Genomic DNA, 22,024 nt, shown 5'->3' with positions numbered 1-22,024 from the left:
AAGTCCAAAGAATCAGATTCCAGGGCCCCAGCCCACAGGATACTGCTTTTTAATCAGCGAGCACACTTACTACTAATCAGGGTGATTGTCACTTTACCCACCTTGGCGTAACCAAGGGCTTCTGATTTGTAGTGTTTTATGATAATAAAAAAATACATAGCTTGGAGGTGGGTGGCAGCATTTGTGCTAAAATATGCTGGATGCAAAGTTGTTCTGGGTCTGAGTTGTGCCCATTCTGAAAGGAGTATTAGATCAAAGAATGCTTACCTGTGCTGTGACTTTGTTTTATTATGGTTATAATTTTGTTTTCTTCTTGGAAAATGCCTCTATTAAAGGTCTGCCTCTTTCTTTCTTTTCTTTCTTTCTTTCCTTCTTTCCTTTCCTTTCTTTCCTTTCTTTCTTTCTTTTTGAGACAGGGTCTTGCTCTGCCACCCAGAGTGGAGTGGAGTGCAGTGGCGTGATCATGACTCACTGTAGCCTCCACCTCCCGGGCTCAAGTGATCCTCCCACCTCAGCCTTCCAAGTAGCTGCACCACCACACCCTGCTAATTTTTAAAATGTTTTTGTAGAGATGGGGTCTCACCATGTTGCCCAGGCTGGTCTCAAACTCCTGGCCTCAAGCAGTCTTCCCCTACTTTGGCCTCCCAAAATGCTGGGATTATAGGCGTGAGCCATCTCACCCGCCCCAAAATATGCCTTTTAAAAATAAGCTAAGATTGGGTTGGGTGTCAGGGATGATGAGTCTAATTCCCATTGTGTTCCCAAATCTCAAATTTTCCTTCCAGCCGTAGATGGGTCCCGGGCCTTTTCACATCCTAGCCCAGGGCTCCTGAAGCTGAGCCCACAGGGGATGATCCACAGCAGCTCCTCCCACCATGGCTGGGCTTTGCTCACACTCATACCCAGCTCCTCCTGGCCACCACATGCCTCAGGGCCTTGTGTCCCTTGGCATTCCACCCCCTCCTGCCCCACCTTTAATGCCCTTTGCACATCCCCCCACCCCTTTTGAGCCCAAGAGAGTTCCCACCTCTCCAGTGGAGCGTTTGGATAACCAGGTTCAGCTGCAAGCACAAGAAGCCTCTCTAGCCAGGCAAAGCAAAGGGATTTAACCTGGGGCATTGAGTGCTTTCAAAACTACTGGGCACTGCGGGAGTGGTCTGTAGGCCTCCGGGAATGCTTCATGACTGTTCCAGCCCACAGTTGTCTCTCCTATCTCTGATGCATTTCATTCATTCATTCATTCAGTGTTCATGGAGCAGAGGCAGTGCCGGCTGCTAGGGACAGGACACCAGGATGAATGAATAAAACATGATCTCTTCTCAAAGAACACAGGGCCTACACGCCCTGATGATGAACTCTGGATAAGAGCCATGAACAGAGTAATGCAGGGCCCCAGGAGGGTGCGCCTACCTCAGTGTTGGGGAAGCGTGGAAGGACTGCGGAGTGCGCAGAGGGCAAGAGCAGGCCTCTGCCCAATCATGGGGTCATAGACAGAGGGGGTGTGGAGGAACCACACGTCTTTCCCTGTGGTTGCAGTACAGGGTAGGGTAGGGGTGCCGGGACAGGTGACCAGAGAGAGGATAAGCTGGTCAGGGTGAGGGGCTTTTGGGGCATGACCTGACCATTACGTGGTGTTGTCTTATTATTTAATTACAGTGGTCAAGAAGGCAGACTTACCAGCCAGCCTGGCTGAGTTAAAATTCTGCTGGGCTCAAAACCTACTAGTTGTGTGACCTCAGGCAAGCTATCCAACCTGCGGACCTCACTTTTCTCATCAGTAAAATGGGGTAATAACAGTACCCACATCATGGGGGTGCTGTGAGGGTTAAATGAGTTGATATGTAATAACACACTTAGACCTGTATCTGGCCAAGGTGTCAGCTGTCAGCCCTGGATGTTATTTAATGCCTAACTCTGTACCAGGCAGCATGCTGGTGATTTTCCATAAATTCTCTCAATCAGTCCTCTCAAAGGCCCTCCCTGGGAGGCAGGCGTTATTGATCTGTTTTATTATACAAAGGAGAAGTCTATTTCTAGTTTCCTCTGAGATTTTAGCTCCTTCACTGGCTCTGTTCTATTTCTGTCTCCCGTGCACTGTCGCTGCAGGAGCCCTGCCAGAGACAGAGAGGAACCAAAGCCCCCTGGAACTCCAAGAGGAAGGACAAGTTAGATCTGGGCTTCCACAGAGCCATCATGCTCTCCTGCCTTAGTTACTGGAAAGGGATCCAACGCACTCTCACAAGCCCACACGCAGCCCGGACGGCAGACGTGCCGGTCAAATTTGTTAAAGTCATAAAATTTGGCAGGACGGAGTTTGGTAGAAGTGGAGGATGAAGTGAGGGATCCAGTCGAATGAGTGGGATGCTCTGGAATAAGCAAGAACCAAGAGCAGGCACTGCCTGGAGCGGCAGGCGATGCTCCCACCCCTCCAGCGAGGACACCCTCAGGGGTGTGGGACTAGTGTCCCCGAGGCTCCCCTCACCCAGGACTGGTGGCATCCCCACCTGCCTAGTGGTAGGAACAAACACTGTATCCCTCTGACCATACATTTCCTCTAACAAAATATTCATTTTCCTAAGAAAATGAACGGAACGTTCCTTCAGCTGGGCATTCCGTTCTTCCTTTAAGGGAGCCTGGCATTGCTTCGACAAGGGCAGGCAGGAAGGAGGCTAGCGTTTTCCCCTCTGCCAGCCGTTCCACGTGCTCTAGGGGACTGTCCGTTTAATTCTCTTGGCAGCCTCCTAGGGAGGCACTGTCATCTCCACTCTGTGGATGAGCAGTCAGGGGGCCAGCAAGTCCAGCCAAGTCCAGAGTCTGGCCAGAACAGGCCGGCCCCTTCAGTGGAGGTGAACCCCTTTCATCTCAGCTCTGGTCTCTGCCTTTCAAGGCAGCAGTGGCTGCTGGTGTATTGCAGGCGTCTTGCCCAGGGGGCTGGCAGTGACCATGAGAATGTGAGTTGTCCCTGGCCCTGAATCCTCCTCCTCATGCAGGAGGCGGGTGAGGCAGAGAGGATGGTCATGAAGGCAGAAGCCTCGATCCTGAGCCGCAGGGCCTCAGTGCACTTGCACACACATTGTCTCATTTTACCTCCAAACCCCGGGGAGGAGGCTGCAGTGTTCCTGTGTCTCAGGTGGAGAAACTGAGGCCCACAGAGGTCTAGGAAGCAGCTTGTGGGAGGGCCAGAGCTTTACCCCACACCTCCACATGGCAAGTGGCTCACCCGGCAAGTGGCTTACCTGCGCCATCGGAGCAAATGGCTTCCTAGTGGACAGCGATGGGGGGCTTTCATTAGCCCAGGCAAGACCCCTGCCCCATCCGCATTTCCTTATTTACCTCGCGACATTGCTCTCTGAGGTCGGTGGTGTTAGGATTATCCCCACTTCACGGGTGAGCGAACTGAGGCCCAGAGAGGTTAGGTCACCTGATTAATAAACAAAGGCATAAAAGGGGCATTCGTTTTTCGATGGAGAGGATAAAGCAGCCTGGTTTGTACATTCTGAGAGGCTCTGCGGCTTGTTCATCTCGAGGGCTGTGTGTGCTTTATTGGGAGCTGTCCCACCTCCTGGGGCTGGATGCCAGGCAGGCCATCTGCTTCTGGGGCTGGGCGCCCCTCCCACAGTCATTGCCTTCTCCCTGAACGACTGGCTCCCAACTGGCTGCAGCCGTTAAAGAAGTTCCAGGAAAAAGATCTTAGCCAGCCTCCTCTGCAACCTAATTTCTGCTGCTGTGGGTATTGCCTTGTCTGCATAAATGGCTCTGCTAATTTTCTGCTGCTGCCTGTTGTTGAGGTTGCAGAACGGCAGGGGAAGAAGGGCAGGAACCAACCACTTTCCTTGGCACCTGCTCAGGGCCCTGTCGGCCCCTTGATGAACGTGGTCTCTTGTCTCCCACTCCATTAGCAGCAGCCCTGCAATCCTCACAAAGCTGAAGTCAGATCAGGTCGCTGCCCAGCTGGGTACCATCCTCTGCACAGAGGAGAACCCCAGTGCCCCACTGCTGCCCCTGGGGCTGTGGACCCAGCCTTCCATGTACCTCTCACCTTCCTCCTCCACATGGCGCTCTGGACTCGGGGCCTTCCTTCTGCGCCTGGAGTAGGCACACCTGTGTGTCCCCAGCAGGACTCCTGCACCAGGACAGCTCCCAGCCACTCAGACACTCAGGGGCCTTCCCTGGCTATTCCCTGGAGTCTAGGTCGGGCTCCCCTAGTCTAGGTTGGGCTCCCTTATCTGTCGACCCCCTCATGGTGCTCACAGTGCTCCTCACAGTACACACTCACAGGCGTGTTCTCTGCTGAGTGGCTGCAAGCTGTGTGTGGGCAGGGACAACGTTGTTTGTTCATCTCAGTGTCCTGGGGGCCTGGCACGTAATAAGCTCACATTCACATTTGCAGACTCGGCTGAAGAAAAGTAGGACCCACTGTTGTTGCCATCCCATTCTTTCTACTTCAATGCCAAGGAGACAGGCCAAGGGCCATCAGGCGACTTGCGCAGGGTCCTGCGTGGTCACACTGGGAATCCAACCAGGTTGTTCTGGCTGAACTTTGCTCTCTGTTCACAGCCTCCCAGCAACTGGGATGTGCATTTCCTCCACATCTGGGTTTCTCAGTGCTCAGTCATGTATATATTTGGAGCAGAAATAGAAGCACAATGTTTTGTGAAACCCTGAAGGGGAAGCTTCCACACAGTGCCCAGCATCCAGTGGTGAATGTGACCTTCCATCAGGAAGCCTGGAGCTGGGGTCTGTCCCTTTACCCAGAGAGACAAATGCAGACACACATAGCTTGGGACATGGCCAGCTGTATTCGTGGCAACAGGGCAGGAAGCTGGGAAGGGCCGGCCAGACCAGGCCGGGAAGAGGTCTGAAGAGAGGAGGGAGCGGCAACAGTGGCTCCACCTGCAGCAGGTGTGTGGGGAAGGAGGGGGGAAGGTCTCACAGGAGGAGGGGTGTGCTCACAGGGGGTGAGGTGAAGCACCTGGAAACCCTGGTGCCAGTAAGCACAGCACAGGCGGGCTTCCAGGAGGCTCCACCCTGGGCACTGCAGTGGGCAGAGGAACCCTAGGACCACCCCCACCCCCAGTTGTTAAACATTTAACAGCACACTATCGCCTGGCACATCTGGGCACCAGAAAGGAGGCCTCGGAGCTCGGGAGCAGGGCAGAGGGGGAGAGGTGTTTCAGAGGCAGACAACCTTTGTTCTGTTGCAATGCGAAGTTTCTGGAAGGCTTAAAGCAGAAGGGTAACATGATTTGATTTCGCTTTGCTGGACAGATTTACCAAACACCCTAAGGTCCTGGGAACATGTAAATGTGGCAGCCAGGGGGAAGGGGAGATTGAGTTATCTGAATCGGGGTCCAGGCAGGATCTGAATCCAGACACTAAGGAGAAACCCACTTACCACAATAGAAGCTGAAGATCAGAATGAGTCCAGGTGTCCAAAGGTGGGCTCTCAGGGTGCTGACCGGGCCTGGGGGTGGAAGTGTGGGGCTGTGGAAGGCTAAGCCTACAGGTGCTGCCAACGGGCTCTTCCTGTGCAGAGAGAAGGGTGGCAGTGACCCCCACCGCCTGCAGTGGGACGGCTATATCTGTCAGCCTCTATGGCTAGAACTCGTGGTCTACCCAGCATACCCCCCAGGGAGATTGGTGGCCCTAAGGTTGCTCTAAGTTTCTACGATGGCTGCATTCTCACCACACTTAAGTTCCACTTAGCCTCTGAGCAGCACCATGGCCCAAGCTCAACATTGTGATGAGAACAGGTGCTTCTCCACCTTGGCTGTACATCGGAGCCACTGGGGAGCTTTTCTAACCTCAGACCAATTAAACCCAGAGGTCCCCTGGGAGTGGGACCCAGGCATCAGCCTTTTTGAAAGCTCCCCAGGTGACTCCAATGTGTGGCCAAAGTTGAGAACCTCTGGATTAGAAGGAATTGCTGTAGAGTAAGAGACCACTTGTTTTTCCACATATTGACTTGGTGCTGGATTCTCTTGACAGGCAATTCCAGGCATGATGGCAATGCCTTGTGCCATTTCTTTGGTTGTTAAATGGAACCCCGAAGTCCTTTTCTGCTGGGTGGCCCCTGGCTGCGATGAGAGGCTGGAGAGTTGCATGATCCAGCTCAACGACCTGTCTGTCTGCATTAACAGTAGCCTGAATTATGACAGTAGTGGCTGTGCTCCCAAAGGGGGTTAAAGTACTTGAGCTATCCCTTCTGGAAGCACAGCCCCTTTTGAAGACAGAAGATGCTGACTAATTAGCAGTTCCAGCCGTGCTCCTCAGTAGCCAAGGGAAATGCAGGAAAGAAATCCCATCAGCCAATCCCAGAAATATCAGGTGGGCAGGTGTCATTTACACAAGTACACATCTGATTGAGTGGAGGTGGCTGGGCATTCCATGGAGCAGTGAAGAGGGTGTGAAAATTCCTCTGGCTTCTTTAGGAAAAAGGCAGGAAAAGGAAAAGGACAGATGGCAAAGGTGATTTGAAAAATGGGGCTAAATGAAAGCACCATAAAACAAACTGGTGCCATTCTGGCCTTACACAGCCTGGCTGAAAAGAGTCGTAGGAAGAACACAGCTGTTGAATGAGGTGTCTATGTCCTCAGCTGGGCCCCTGTTCATGTTGCTCGGCTGGGATACAGCTCTGGGGTCCAGTCCTCAGAAGGTTGTGGGCTGATGTCAAGGTGGGGGCATCAGGAAGCAGGCAGGCAACTAGAGAACCAGAGTGACGGTCAGCAGGGGTGTGCAGAGGGGCCAGAGCCCAGCAGAAAGGCCCGGGAGGGGTTGCCAGATCAGGCACTGGGAGCCTCCGCCGAGGCAGCGTCTGTCCTGACTCCATGGCTTGTGTTCTGAGCCCTATAGCAGCTTCCTGGAGACCAGACAGCCAGCGGCAACATACTCTGAATGGTGTTTTGCCAACTTGCCATGTGGCTCGGACAACTTACTTTACTTCTTTTTTTTTTTTTTTTTTTTTTTTTGAGACAGAGTCCCACTCTGTCACCCAAGCTGGAGTGCAGTGGCACAATCTTGGCTCAACTGCAATCTCAGTCTCCCAAATAGCTGGGATTACAGGTGTGTGCCACCATGCCTGGTTAATTTTTGTACTTTTTATAGTGACGGAGTTTCACCATGTTGGCCAAGCTGGTCTCAAGTGATCTGCCCGCCTTGGCCTCCGAAAGTGCTGGGATTATAGGTGTGAGCCACCTTGCCTGGCCCAACTCACTTAACTTCTATGCATTTCACTCTCATCTGTAAAGAAGATAAATCATCTGATGACTGGAGAGTTAGAAATCTTGCATGTGGAGTTGCAGAGGAACGGGTGCATAGTAAATGCTCAGGAAGGTGGCAGCTTGTTCTCCTCCTCCTCTTTCCCCTCATCACCATCAGCAGCAGTAGAAGTTGGTGGGTATCGCTCATGGCATTTACTCCGTGCCTGAAGGAGACTCTAGCTCTCCGTAGGTCTTCTGCTAAGAATATAGGTCTTGAAAATTGGATAGTTTGGAATCTAAATGCTGCCACATTCGCCCCCGAGGGAGGAAGCAGGCCCTGGTGGAGGACCTGCCTGCCCCGCGCCAGCACTCTGCCTGGGCCATTGGCATCGATTAGCTCCCATGAGCCTCACAAGCACCCACAGGGCGATGCTCTTCTTACCATGTTACAGGCGAAGAAATGAACCTTCATGGGACTGGAGCTCTGCCTGAGAGCTCACAGGAAGAGCAGGGATTTGGGCTCCATTCTGCGTGACTCTGAAGCCCCGCATTTTAACAGCAAACTCCTCTTATTTGACAATGCCTGGAGCCCATGGTGTGGCTCCTGGTGTTGCTGAGGTTTTGTAAGCTCTGGTACTGCTGCAGCACAGTGGCAGCCATCTGGGCGTTTCTTTTCTTTTCTATTTTTTTGGAGACAGAGTCTCGCTCTGTCACCCAGGCTGGAGTACAGTGGCGCCATCTCAGCTCACTGTCATCTCTGCCTCCTGGGTTCAAGCAATTCTCCTGCCTCAGCCTGCCGAGTAGCTGGGATGACAGGCGCATGCCACCACTCCCGGCTAATTTTTTTGTATTTCAGTAGAGGTGGGGTTTCACTATGTTGGTCAGGCTGGTCTCAAACTCCTGAGCTCAGGCAATCCGCCCGCCCCGGCCTCCCAAAGTGCTGGAATTGTAGGCATGAGCCACCGCGCCCAGCCCCGTGTGGGCTTTCCTAACCAGGCTCCCTTCTTGTCTCTGCAGGGCCCTCATCTTTGTGTCCCATGGAGCCGGAGAGCACAGTGGCCGCTATGAAGAGCTGGCTCGGATGCTGATGGGGCTGGACCTGCTGGTGTTCGCCCACGACCATGGTGAGTGTCCCAGGGTGCCGTCAGAGCTGGCTGGGCCCTGACAATTTGGAGATCTCCCTCTCTAGTCCATCTCACTGCCAGCATCCTTCTCAATTCTTCTATTCCCCACGGATGTTTCAAAGTAAAAAAATGTAGTTATGCAAACAAACAAAAAAAATGTCTGACGAGCAGATTCTGTAGTCTGAGACTGAATGCAGGCTGATTAGAAACCTCAACTGGAAAAACAAAGTCGGATATGTTCATCTCAGAACTTGCCTGAGGCTAAGGAATTCTTTCCTGCATTTATAAAGTGCTTTCTCTCAAAATGGGCCCTGGTTTTTCTCCAAGTGCCCTCAAATGGGCATTGTGTAGTCAGTTCAAGTACAGTGTAAACCCTGGTTTAACCACACGAGGTTTACCAAGCATTTCAGACCAGGAGAATAGTAGAAGCCTCAACAGGCCATATTGTTCACAAGAAAACCCAACACACACACAAATACAAGGACACACAGCTACCCATGCATATAGTCATACACACATTTGCACACATACACATATACATACACATGCACACACATACACACCTGTACCTATACACATACACGTAAAACACACATACACACATACATACACATGTGCACCTACACATTTACACACATATACACACATTCACACATACATATAGACATATACATGCATACATAAACATACCATCCATACACAATCACACACACACAACCCCAGGCCAGGTCTTTGATTCTTTGTTCTGTAGCAAAATCCACAACCATCAAAATCCAATGTTCATTGTCTGAGTCGGTATGTAGTTTTGTAATCATGTTTGCAACATTCTCTATGGCTAGGAAGTCTCCCAATTTAGTTCTTTGCCTAACACTTTTTAAAATTAAGACTTCTCTGTGACTGAACACGGTGATTTCCCCACAGCTTCAATGTAAAATTCTATCATTGTGGCCCAGATCCAGAAATGTTGCTTCCATTTTATCTGATTTGAAAATGGATAATAATTAAGTGATGTCTCTGAAAAGAGGGACAGGGGAGCAATGACAGAGGCCTGGAAGTCCTTGTAAATGCGGGAAAGCCTTATCTGTACGGAGAAGCTGCACAGGAGGTGAAAAGCTTGCTGGGACATTCTGTAGGTAAAGAGCTGCAAATGTGATTTGCCAGGGGCTCTTATTCAGCTGGATATACACAAGCGTCCTCATAACTGACAGTATTGACTAATTCTTTCTTATCATAGTTGTGACGTTCTTTAGTGCTTTGCGAACTGTCCCAGTAATATTTGTGAGACTGTTTGAGAAATAATATTTGAGGATCATCTCCGAGGCTTTTAGTATGGGGACTGTGTCATTATTAACTTTGGCACTTCTTACATGTAAAAGCCTCAGATAGGAATTTTTTTTTCCTATTGCATTTGCATCCTTTAAAATTTGTTACACTCATCATCGTTATGTTCTAGAGACATTGTGAAGGAAAAGGATATTTGTACTATGCAGCTAGAGTCCCAAGAATCTATTTTGTATCTTAGCACCAACCACCTTCTTATCGGATAAAACTTGGCCAAATCTGTGGGATTAAGTAAATGTTGTTCCTTGTTTATTTTGTCTGGCTGTGGCACTTTGAGAAACAATTTTAAAAGCCTCCTTTTTTAGAATAAAGGGAGAAAAGAAACAGCCCACCTTTTGATGTTTCCAGAATAACATCTAGAGTTGAGGCAGAGCTCTCTGTGACATTCTAAATATAGTGCGAAAATGGCTGTTGGTGTTCACCTGTTTCAAGCTCTTTGAATGACTCATGGAAATCTCTCTGGCAAGTGCCTAAGGGAAGTGTTTAATTCAGGAAATGAACCCAGTTGACTGTGCGTGTGTGACTTTTGCTGTGGCTTGCTTAGTAGAAGGAAGCCAAGTAAGTGGGCTGCCATTTTGGGGATCTTGTGCAGGCTGGCGATGCAGGTACTGGTGGCTAGTGATCTTGGCTGTATTTCCTTCTTGCTGAGAAATGTGCTAGTAAGTGAAGAAGGAAGGATTTGAACCCAGGTCAAACCTTCTTTAGAAGGTTGGGGAGGGAAAGGAGTGAATGGATGCTAAATCTGACGCTAACTGATTTTACTAGCTTGGATCTCGTTGCTCAATGCATTATAGTATTTCGCTGTTCAGCATTTTAACAGCAAATCCTCTTATTTAATAAGGCCTGGAGCCCACAGTGTGGCTCCTGATGCATTGCTGAGGTTATGTAAGGTCCTGCGCCGCTGCATTACAGCCACAACTGTCTAGACTTTTCTAAGAAAAAAAAAAAGGCTGGTTCTAAAGCCTGGCCTTTTTTATTACTGTACACCAATGTTTCCAGGCACAAATGCCTACAGAGATATATGCAGACTGCATTCTTTCCAACATAGCTTTTATTTTATTTTTTTACTTTTTATTTTTTTGAAATGGAGTCTTGCTCTGTCGCCCAGGCTGGAGTGCAGTGGCGTGATCTCAACTCACTGCAACCTCTGCCTCCCGGGTTCAAGCGATTATCCTGTCTTAGCCTCCTGAGTAGCTGGGACTACAGGCGCCTGCCACTATGCCCGGCTAATTTTTGTATTTTTGGTAGAGACAGGGGTTTCACCATATTGGCCAGGCTGGTCTCGAACTCCTGACCTCAGGTGATCCACTCTCCTCGGCCTCCCAAAGTATTGGGGTTACAGGCGTGAGCCACTGCACCCAGTCCAACATAGCTTTTAAATTTAAATAAAGCAGGCAAGGTGCAATGGCTCACACCTGTAGTCCCAGCACTTTGGGAGGCTGAGGTGGGAGGATCGCTTGAGGCCAGGAGTTTGAGACCAGCCCAGGCAACATAGTGAGATCCTGTCTCTACAAAATAATTTTTTTTAATTAGCTGGGCCCCATGGTATATACCTATAGTGCCAGCTACTTAGGAGGCTGAAGTGGGAAGATCACTTGAGCCTGAGAGTTCAAGGCTGCAGTAAGCCATGATCACACCATTGTACCCAGCCTAGAGGAAAGAGCAAGATCCTGTCTCAAAAAGAAAAAAAATTAAATAAAACAAATATTAGGAGAATGTCAGGACATTTATTGTGCCCATTGGAGGTACACTGAAAACTAAAAACGGAGCTGAAAACACTGCTGCAGGGCCCATGGCACCTCCAAGGCTCCAACATCCAAACCTCCCATGTCTTTAGCCATGTTGTCATCTGCACTCCAGGGTGTCGCTGGAAGCATGCTACTGCACTTTCATCCCAGACAGCAGAAGGGCTCAGACACTAATACACCCAGTCCAGGGTCCACTCAACAGGGAGTCCAAGCCGTGTGATCTGCACCTTGTTTAACTATCCCCAGTCTTAATTTTCTCATCTACAATGTAGACTGGCTGCTGTGCTGTGTACCCAGGTGGGCGTGACCCCAGGGCTCTGAGCAAGACCAGCAGGACTGAGGCTGGGAGTTAGGGGGTTCTTGTCCCCGTGTGGTTGCCCTGAGCGGGCTGGGTCACCCCTCAGGCCTGCACAGGCCGTTCTGAAGATACAGTGAAGCAATAGATAGGAAAATGCTTTACAAAGTAGACAGAGCTGCCTATGGTGGTTTCACTGCCCGGTTTCTATGACACGATTTATGGAAACACTGGCTTCTGTAAATCTGATGCTAACTGATTTTACTACCATGGGTCTCATTGCTCAATGCATTACAGTATTTCACTGTTCAGACAGAAACCTCTAGGCGCCGCGGTTGTGGCAGTCTGGCTGTGTCTCCAGCATGCCTGGTAAATTGGTGGGCTCAGAGTCATGTTCAATAAGCATCTAATTTAACTTTGTTCTCCATGTTAACCTCAGAATTTGTACAAAATGAACTCATGGGTTTGAATGGCTTGCCAGCAGTGAAAATTGTGATTCCTGCCATTTATTCAGTGTCAACTGCATGCCAGGCTCTCTACTGGGCACTTTTCTCATATGATCTCTAATTTCTCACAACAATTAATCTTATTTTCCCCATTTTATAAGTGAGGAACGTGTGGCTGTATATTCAAGCAGATCCATTCTCATTGCGCATGTGTTAGCAAAGGGAAGTTTTGTCTTCTTCCAGGGCACGTGATGTCTGAGGCAGGTGCAAGGACTCCATGGCACCATCAGTGCCCAGGGTTCCATCTGTAGTTTGCTCAGCTGGTACTACTTAGCATGTGGCTTTCATCTGTGTGGGCACTACCTCCAGCCTCATGTTCTAACAGGTAGAGGAAGCAGGAAGTGACAGAGAAAAAGGGCTGGGCTCCTATCAGGAAGGCAAAGCTTACTTAGAAATCCTGGCAGGCTCTAGCCCCACTGCATTGACCAGTGCTGTTCACAGGGCTCTGCCTAGCTGCAAGGGAGGCAGGAACTGTAATTTTTAACTACTGACCCAAACAACAGAAACTTCTGTTGGTAAGGTAGACACAGAGAATGGACATTGCTGATGGCTATCCATCTCTGCCATGCCACACTCCCAGGTTTATTATTAAATTAGCATTTCCCCGATTGTTTCTACTTTATGTATTTTCTGGGCATTTCAGCTCACTCACAGGATTTCCTTTCATCTCACCCATCCTTGTGTTCTTTCTGAAGGTTTTGATGTGAAGGCTATTAGTATTGGCATCATTAATAAGCATTGGTTGAAGTTCCTAATTGGGTGTTTGTTCTGGGTGAGGTGTGAAGCAAGGAGAAATGCATGGACACAGTAACTGTTGTCCTAATGAGAACATGACCCGTCTTCCCCAGAGAAAGCAAGCAGCCCCTCTCTAAGGGCATAGCTTTTTATAGCATGTATTATCCTGCGTGGGAACTATTCCTTTAGGCCAAGGCAGCCACTGCAGGCAGGCAAAGACAGTGTCTTACATTGTGTTGTCCATTCGCTCCTCTCCCTCCCCCAAGACCCTTCTCATCATCTTTGCATAGCATAGTCCATTCCTGGACTGAGCAGGAAGTGGAGGCATCAACAGTGTTTGCTGAATGACTGGAAGAGTTTATAAGCCAAAATAGATCAGACCAGAAATGCTTTAAATATTAAGGGTAGAACATCCACATTAAGGTATCCACGTAAGCAGGGCACTGCCGGGTCCCCTCAATGAGCAGAGGGTCCAGCAGTGTGGCCACTGGACCTGAGTCTGGTGACCAAGCAGGTGGAGAGCCCGTAAGTGCCATGGATGCGCTGCTGGGACAGAGGCGCCACAAGGCCCGCAGCTCAGGAAGGGGTGTGGCACCTCCAGGCTCAGGGCATCCTCAATGCCTGGAGGGCCAGAAGGGTGGCTGGCAGGATGGCCGGGTCTTGTCGGAGAGTGGGAGCTTGTCAGCAGGAGGAAGGGCTCCGATCGTTGAGAGCCATGGTTCTCACCTTGCCTACTGTCAGGATTACTGGGGAGTCAAAAAATCCTGAAGCCTGGGCTCCCCCTCCCCCACCCCTCAGAGATCCTGATTTATTGGTCTTTGGTGTCACCTGGGCATCAGGATTTTAAAAGATACACGAGGTGATTCTTATATGCAGCCCAGGTTGAGAACTACCACTGAGCAGAGGAGGCCACACAGGCACAAAGTTTGGAGCTGGTGAAGACAGGATTTATTAGGAAAGGCTCTGGGGCCTGGAAGGATGGAAGGCCACCAGGAGACTTTGGAGATCCTCAGGAGAGGGGCCTCAGAGTAGAGCCCATGAGGGAGAGGTGCACGGGCAGCCAGAAACGGAGGGGCTGCTGCCATGTGTGAACAGGTGGGGACACCAGAAGATGGGATTTTCCGCAACATTCTAAATATAGCAGGGAGAAAACCGGGGCTGGCGTTCTCTTGGTCCCTGGTCTGCCAGCTGCTGCAGTGACTCACTGGAAACCCCTTGGCCTTCCATGCAGGCAGAAGGGCCAGTCTCACCCAGAGGGGGCAAGGAGGACTCCGGGAGGAGGGCACACATGGACCCACCCAGGAGGCGCTGCTGCGAGAGACGGTGGGAATCTGAGGCCCATTTGCCCGCAGGCCTGCTCCCTGCAGTCCTGCTGGAAAGGGCCCTTCCCCAGGGAGCAGCCTCCTGACTTCCTAACACGCACTCTCGGCTCCAGGAGCACTTGCTGGGGCCAGAGAAGCCTCCTCTGTATTTACAAAGTATAAACGAACCATCCTCAACTGATGAACAGTGAATTAATTATCTGCAAATATTTGAGGGAAAGTGTTAAAGAGGGCTTTGTGTGTGTGTTTTTTTTTAACTCAGCTGGGGCATGTGAGAAGAGGAAGTTTTGAGGGAATGTCTGTGGGCGGCAGTTACGCGTGGTTCTCCTTGGCGGGTGGGTCCTATCCAGTCAGAAGAAGAGTATTTAGGAAATTCAGGGGGAATAATTGTATATGGGTGTTTTTCATCCAGGGAGACAGATTTGAGTCAAGGTCGCTTGCTGGAAGTATTCTAAAATAAACTGCCATAGGTTTATTTTATTTCTTGTAAGTAATATATTTTTGTTTGAAACGTTTGAAAAATGTGTTAACCGTTTTTCTTGCCTTAGTAAATATGAGAATTAAAATAATGGAGTGAGTTGCCCTTTAAGTCTTCAAGAGTTCCTTGGGGGCCCAACTCCGAGGGTGGGTGACAGTGAACTTGCTGCAACTTGTAGAGTGTGGGAGAGTGGACTGTGCCACCCTGAGACCCCCATAGTCTCTGCTATTCCCCAACTCATTCCCTTCGTCCCCTTGCCTCCTCCTCTTCCTTCTTCATTCACTATTAAGCATAGTGAATGCTCTACCTTTGATGAAAGCCTGTTGAGTTTATTTGATGTAAGTCTCGGATATGAGTTTGTGTGCCCTCTCTGATATGAGGTCATTTGCCTCTGTTGAACAAAACAAAAACCTCCATGTGGCTCAGTTGCTCGTTTGTAAAATGAGGACCATGATAATAACAAGGTTGCTCTGTGGCCGTGGAGATGAAATGAGATAGCGCAGGGTCTGAAACTCCAGTGGCAGCAGCATCCCCTGTTGAAAGCCAGATGGCTGGGCCCACCCCAGGATTCAGATTCAGTTGGTCTGCTGTGGGGCCCAAGAATGTGCATTTCTAACAGCCCCTGGGGGTGCTGCTGCTGCTGCTGCTGCTGCTGAGGACCCCTGAGAGAGTGTGTGTAACAAACCATACACAACGCCAGGCATCTATTAGACACGAAGTACCTGCCAGCTCACCTGCAAAGAAAGGTGCAGGGAGACTTTGCAGCTATTGAAAGTTCTGTCCCAGACTTCAAAGGATGCTTCCTCAAGGAGATGAAATTGAACAGGGAAATATGGAGAAAGAGCATTCAGGTGAAGGAACTCTTCTTCCTTCATTCTTTGATATTCACTGAATGCCCAACTGCACTCCTAACTGTTCTAGGCACAGAGGTCCAGCAGTGAGCCAGGCAGACATGAGTGAATAAGGAGAGGTGTTATGTCCTGCCAAGTGCAGGGGAGGCAAGAGGCAGGAGGCTGCCAGGGAGAGGGGCTCCCTCTGCCCAACAGTTTGGGAAGCCTTTCAAGAGGCTGTGGCAGTCATTTGGACCCATTCTTGCAAAGGTCTGGGTGGCAGAGGGAGTCTAGAGCTGGGAACAGTCAGTGCAAAGGCCCGGGGGCAGGGGCTAGCAGGGTGCTCTCAGGTCGCCAGCAAGCCAGGATGGTCAGAGCTTAGACAGAACAGCAGGTGAGCAGTGATGGGCAGGGGCCTTGTGGGCCCAAGGAGGAGGAACAGAGGCTGCTCTGGGATGTTGGAAGCCACTGGAGGGAGGGCTGTGAGCAGGGGAGCAGTATACTGTGATGTGTGTGATTTCTGAACGACCTGAGGCTGCTGTGCGAAGACAGATTGCAGGGCGAAGTCAGGGAGTGTGGGGAGGACTTTGGGCCGCCAGGCTGGGAGGGACTTGCTGTGTGCTGTGTGGCAGTGTCAACCAGACCTCTCTGAGCCTTGAACTTGGGTGGCGACCCTAGGAATAAAGAGGCCTGAGCAGAGTGGAGAGACACAGAGATAAAAGCAACAAGATTTGGCAGAGAGGTGAGAGACAGGGAAGGCCCAACAGTGGCGAGCCTGAGTCTCCTTGTAACGACATCTCCCTCTAGAAATGGAAGGCTGAGTCTAGTCTGCATCATACTGAACTCAAGGCCTCGTGCATGTCTCAGGGTCCCTCCCCCAAGTCCACATGTTGTGGGTGCAACTTAAGGCAGCAAGATGAGAGCAGGTGCACTCTTTAACAAGTCCCCGTCATGCTGTCCCAGTCCAGAGCCAGCCCGGCACAGCCTGTGTCCACCCTACCTGCCTAGGCCTCTCCTGTCTTGTGGTGACCCCCAGGGCCTGTCCTAAGAAGACACAAGTACTGAGCACCCAGCATGTGCTCAACACTGTGTTTACATGTTCATACCTTATCTGACTTGTCCTCACAGCGCTGCCAGGAGGTGAGACTGTTGTCTCCCTCTTACTGACGAGGAAGCTGAGGCACAGACAGGTTAAGCCGCCTGCCCAAGGTGGCATGGCTGCTACGTGGCAGAGCCTAGACTCAAGCCCAAGCTGTCTGGCTCTAGAGTTCAAGGGGTCTAGAATTTGACCCCTTCGGGGGACCCTGGCCTCTAAGCAGCAGCCCACAGCATTCTTGGGCCCCTCAAAAATAATAACATTCACAAGCACAGAACCTCACAGTTTATAAGGGGCTTCCTCAAACATCTCATTCCATCTCAGTAACCCTGGGAGGAAACCAGCCCAGGCTGGAGCCCAGCTGTTGCCTTCAGATCTGCCGAGAGTGCCTCAGTGCGTCCAGGCTGCTGTAACAGAACACTCTAGACTGGGTGGCTGATAAACAGCAGGGATCTATTCCTCACAGTTCTGGAGGCTGGGAAGTCCAAGGTCAAGGTGCTGACAGATTCCGTGTCTGGTGAGAGAACCACCTCCTGGTTCATAGATGATGCTTTCTCACTGTGTCCTCACATGGTGGGAAGAGGGCTAGAGAGCTCTGCAGCCCCTTTAATAAGGCCTCTAACCCCATTCATGAGGCCTCTGCCCCCATGACCTATCACCTCCCAAAGGCCCCACCTCCCAACACCATCACCTTTGGGGTTGGGATTTCAACATGAATTCTGAGGGGAGACAAACATTCCCACCACAGCAGAGAGCAGCAGTTTTGGATGCATACACAGCCCCCCTGCAAATCCAGCCTCTCCCTAGTTGCTGGATCTGCTGGAGCCCATGGCTTTAGCCTCATGGGAGTCTTGGCTTTCCTGCTTCTAGGAGGAGCAGCCAGACCACTCCCTCAAGAGCACTGTGGGAATGCTTTGCATGCGGTAGTGTGCAGGACGGTTCACGTGACCTTCCTTCCACCAGCCATTGGACAGATGTGAAACAGGCTCAGCTTTAGAGAGACAGACCTTGGCTCTAATTTGCTGTGTGGCCTTGGCAAGTTACTTGACTTCTCCGGACTTCACACTCCTCATCTGTAAAATGGGCTAACAATACCAGCCTGTGGGGTGCTGTCAGAAGTGAACTACCAATGCAGCGTGCTGTCTGCACTTAGAGGTTGGGGGAGCGGGGCTCTGGAACCAGACAGACGAGGCCTTGAATTGTGGCTTCATCCTTTACTACCTGTGCGGCCTTGGCAAGTCTGCACAATCCCCTAAGTTGAAAAAGCAGGGCTGGTAAGGCTTGCTGGGGTTATCCCAGGGATTCAATGAGGTGAAGTATGCAGAGTGCTTGGTTTGGGGCCTGGGGTTTGATAAACGCAGGTTTTCTTTCTTCCTCCCATGACACCTCTTTTGCTTTTTGAGGGACGGTAGGAAAGTGCGAAGCTCAGATGCCCTGAGAGACGTTGGTGTAAGACCCACCATTGCACCACTGTTGTGTTGAGAAACAGAACCTCATGGAGGCCAGGAGGAGTCCTTGCCAAGACAGCCGGGACTGTTGCAACTAGGCTCAGGTCCCCCACCTGTCCACTCCCCACATACATGCTGCCCCTGGTGTTCTCAACATACGCTATGTTACCCTGGGTTAAAATTAACGTAGGGCTTCTCTTTATAATTTTCAAATGCCCCTTGAGTTAACTGCAGATGGTAAGTGTGGCACTAAGTCCTAGAATGATGCAGAGCCAGTGGTGGACATTTGTCTTCTTCCTAAGGCAGATGAAAACGTTTAAAGCTAAATGGAGAAGGCCGGGCTTGGTGGCTCACACCTGTAATCCCAGCACCTTGGGAGGCTGAGGGGGAAGGACTGCTTGAGCCCAGGGGTTTGAGACCAGCCTGGACAACATGTCAAAACCCTGTCTCTTAAAAAACACAAAAATTAGCAGTGCTTAAAGGTGCATGCCTATGATCTCAGCTACTTGGGAGACTGAGGCAGGAGCTACTTGGGATCGCTTGAACCCAGGAGGTCAAGGCTGCAGTGAGCTGTGATTTCACCACTGCACTCCAACCTGGGCGACAGAGCGAGACCCTATCGCAAAAAATAAAATAAAATGCATAACTGGAGGAAGACAGAAATAGTAAAGGGTTGCCTTGTGATGAGCAGGACCAGAGGGAGGATGGTCGCTGGGTCCACGAAGCTCACGGTGAGCAGAGAGCAGCTGCCTCTGCTCCTGTTGGTGCAGGAGCCAGGCTTTCAAGGAGGCAGGATTGGGAGGGTAACTGCCTGAGGCAATGAGCAGTTGTGGTTCCTGCTTACATGGGCTTGGTTAGCACAAATTGTAGGGTTGAGACATAGGCAGATGGGGGTTTAAGCAGGCTTCTGGGGCCTAATCAGGGACAAGCAGCATAAAGAGAAAGAGGAAATTGGTAAATCATTCAGTCTTGTGACCTTGGACACACATCCTTGTGACCCTGGGCACCTTGCCTGTGACCCTAGATACCTAGCCTTTCCTGGGCTCCCAGCCTTATGACCTCGACGCTCACCCTTGTGACCTTGAGTACCCAGCCTTATAACCTTGGGTGCTCAGCCTTGTGACCTTGAGCTCTCAGCCTGTGACCCTTGGCACTCACCCTTGTGACCCTGGACACCCAGCCTTGTGACCTTGGGCAAGTCACTGATCCTCTGACCTTGGATCACAGGCCAAGTGGTTAAAGATGTTTAAAGACTCCAACAGGGTTTTGTGGCCTGGTTTTGCTCCGTACAGCCCTGCCTCCTGGAGACTATTCCATATTCTTAGATATTCACTGTTCATTTACGGGACTCCCTCTATGCAGCTGCACCTGGCCCTCACGCCTTAGTTCTTTGACCAACCCATGCCACGGCTTGGGCATGACACTCTCCCTCCTGCCATCTCGGTTCTTTCTGAAAGGTGAAGAGACCTGGAGTGGATGAGGGAAGTTCCAACTGCCCTGGGGAGCCTATATCCTCCAAGGGGCTGTGGGGAGGGTCCCAGAAACCTAGAGGGCTGAGCACTGCATTCTTTCCCACCTTATGCAGGGCCATTCAGCTCTTTTTCTGTACAATATTTCATTTGATTAAAGGATTCACTTAAAAAAAATGTTTCAGGGTGAGGCATTACAGTGGGATTACAGTGGTTCACATCTGTAATCCCAGCACTGTGGGAGGCTGAGGTGGGAGGATCGCTTGAGGCCAGGAGTTTGAGACCAGTCTGGGCAATAGGATGTGACTCTGTCTCTACAAAAATAATACAAAAATTAGCTGGGTGCAGTGGCGTGCACCTGTCCCCGCTACTTGGGAGGCTGAGGTGGAAAGATCACTTGAGCCCAGGAGATTGAGGATTTAGGAAGTTTCTTCCACTTCTAGAATTCTCTGATTCTAAATGAGAAACTAGGTATGAAAGCTCTTTGCGAGTTACAAGGGAGGATAGTTATGAAGAGAGGCACCTTATTGCTGTTGCAGCAGAGCGGCCTGGGGAAGGGCAGGCTGATGTCGAGATGACAGGTGGAAGAAGAAAGCAGCCATGGCGCGCGCCGGTCACTGAGCTGAGCACTCACAGGAGCCCCGCTCCATCCTCAGGACAGACCCCCCAGCACTCTGACGGGGCTTCGGGGGTGGGGTGTTGTGGGGTGGAGGCAGGGAGGCTGCTCTGCTCTCCCTCCACTCAGCAAGTATTTATTGAAACTCACTATGTGCCTGCACTGTCTGGGCACTGGGGAAATGCTGAACCAAACAGACATCAGCTTGCAGCCTCTTGGAGCTCACTTGCTACTTAAATATGTTCAGTCCCTCAGGGCTAAGCCACCCGGGCTGGCAGCTCAGGGTCCAGTACTCCCTGGACCTGGAGAAGACCTCAGCTCTGATGGCAGCCTCCCCCTCACCAGCCTCCCTGGGCCTTGCCATCTTCATCTGAGAAGTGGGGAGGATGCACTACCTCCGTCACAGGGTTTTAGTGTGGACTATGGCACTAAGTGAGGGCAGCGTCTAGGTGATGCAGGTTAGTTGAACTTTTGAAATGCCAGTTGTTTAAAAATTGATTTGTAGGAAGCTTATGGTCAAAGACAATCCAATTCTTTTTTTTTTCTTTTTTTTTGAGATAGAGTCTTGCTGTGTTGCCCAGGCTGGAGTGCAATGGCATGATCTCAGCTCACTGCAACCTCCTCCTCCTAGGTTCAAGCAATTCTCCTGCCTCAGCCTCCTGAGTAGCTGGGATTACAGGTGCACACCACCACGCCTGGCTAATTTTTTATTTTTAGTAAAGACGGGGTTTCACCATGTTGGCCAAGCTGGCCTCAAACTCCTGGCATCAGGTGATCTGCCCACCTCAGCCTCCCAAAGTGCCGGGATTACAGGCATAAGCCACCGCTCCTGGCCTGACAATCCAACTCTTTCTAGCAGAGTTTTACCCAGAGACTCCATATGCTGAACTGAAAGGAACCATCTCTAGATATGAGGGCTGTGAGTATGGTAGTGGTTCTCAAAGTGTGATTCTGGTCAAACCAGCAACAGCAGGAGCAGCAGCAGCACCACCCAGGGATTTGCAGGAAGTGCACACTCTCCGGCTCCAGGGTGGGACCAGCAGTCAGTGTTTAGCAAGCCCTTAGGCAACTCTGATGGACACTATAGTCTAGAATCACTGCCCAGGGGTAGACACATGAGTGATGCGCTAGGTTCCCTGAAAGAGGTGAGCACTGGGGCTTGGAGAGCTGGAGGGGTGGACAGGACAGGGAGCTTCAGTAGGAAGAAGAGAGGAAAGGATATTTCTATCCAGGGGAGGGGGAAGGAAATGCCAAAGAGAGAAGGGAGAGTCAGAGTGGAACTCTTGGGAAATACTCCCTTACTTAGTCATCTTGGATGTCAGAGTAAAGTAGGTCAGGCCTCGATTCTTAACATTTTATTTCTATGACTCCAGTAGTCATTACACATCCCCAAAATGAGGGCTCTGATCCCTAAACCACACACCAGCTGTACAGAAGCAACTGGCACAGGAAGTGGCAGTGTGGTGTGATGGTTAGACACACGGGCTTTGGCATCAGCTATGGGCTCAAATCCTGGTTCAGTCATTTACTAGCTGCAGGGCTTTGGTCTGCAGTCTGTTTTTTGTTATGGCCTTCTCCAGTTTTGGTACCAGGGATATTCTGGCTAATAAAATGAATTGGGAAGTGCTCCTTCTTAGTTAGTTCTGAAAGAATTTGTGTAAGATCGTTATTATTTTTTCCTTCAATGTTTGGTAGATCAGTGAGGCTATCAAGGCCTGGAGTGTTCTTTACGGGAAGGATTTTAATTATAAATTCAGTTTCTTTAACTATTAATAGGACTATCCCAATTTTCTTTTTCTTTTTGTGTCAGCTTTAGT

The 22,024-nt window shown here is 50.5% G+C and overlaps 1 protein-coding gene across 10 annotated transcripts in view, besides 2 other annotated features; it reads left to right on the top strand.

The window, feature by feature from the left end:
- Window positions 1-22,024, top strand: part of MGLL (monoglyceride lipase) — a 134,120-nt gene that overhangs the window by 33,074 nt on the left and 79,022 nt on the right. For all 10 annotated transcript variants that reach the window (NM_001388316.1, NM_001003794.3, NM_001388313.1 and 7 more), the window contains exon 3: window positions 8,217-8,323. In NM_001388316.1, coding sequence (NP_001375245.1) covers window positions 8,217-8,323 — 107 coding nt within the window. The remainder of the gene's footprint in view (window positions 1-8,216; window positions 8,324-22,024) is intronic.
- Window positions 14,003-14,322: an enhancer, noted in NCBI's record as "active region_20473". NCBI's record gives its function as "activates an Ori minimal core promoter by ATAC-STARR-seq in GM12878 lymphoblastoid cells {active_cell/tissue: GM12878}" and the evidence as "EXISTENCE:reporter gene assay evidence [ECO:0000049][PMID:35858748]".
- Window positions 21,237-21,336: an enhancer, noted in NCBI's record as "active region_20472". NCBI's record gives its function as "activates an Ori minimal core promoter by ATAC-STARR-seq in GM12878 lymphoblastoid cells {active_cell/tissue: GM12878}" and the evidence as "EXISTENCE:reporter gene assay evidence [ECO:0000049][PMID:35858748]".

Source organism: Homo sapiens, chromosome 3 (genome assembly GCF_000001405.40).
Source record: "Homo sapiens chromosome 3, GRCh38.p14 Primary Assembly".
Lineage (NCBI taxonomy): Eukaryota > Metazoa > Chordata > Mammalia > Primates > Hominidae > Homo > Homo sapiens.
The sequence above is the reverse complement of the archived record's forward strand: the minus strand, read 5'-3'. Positions and strand labels throughout refer to the sequence as shown.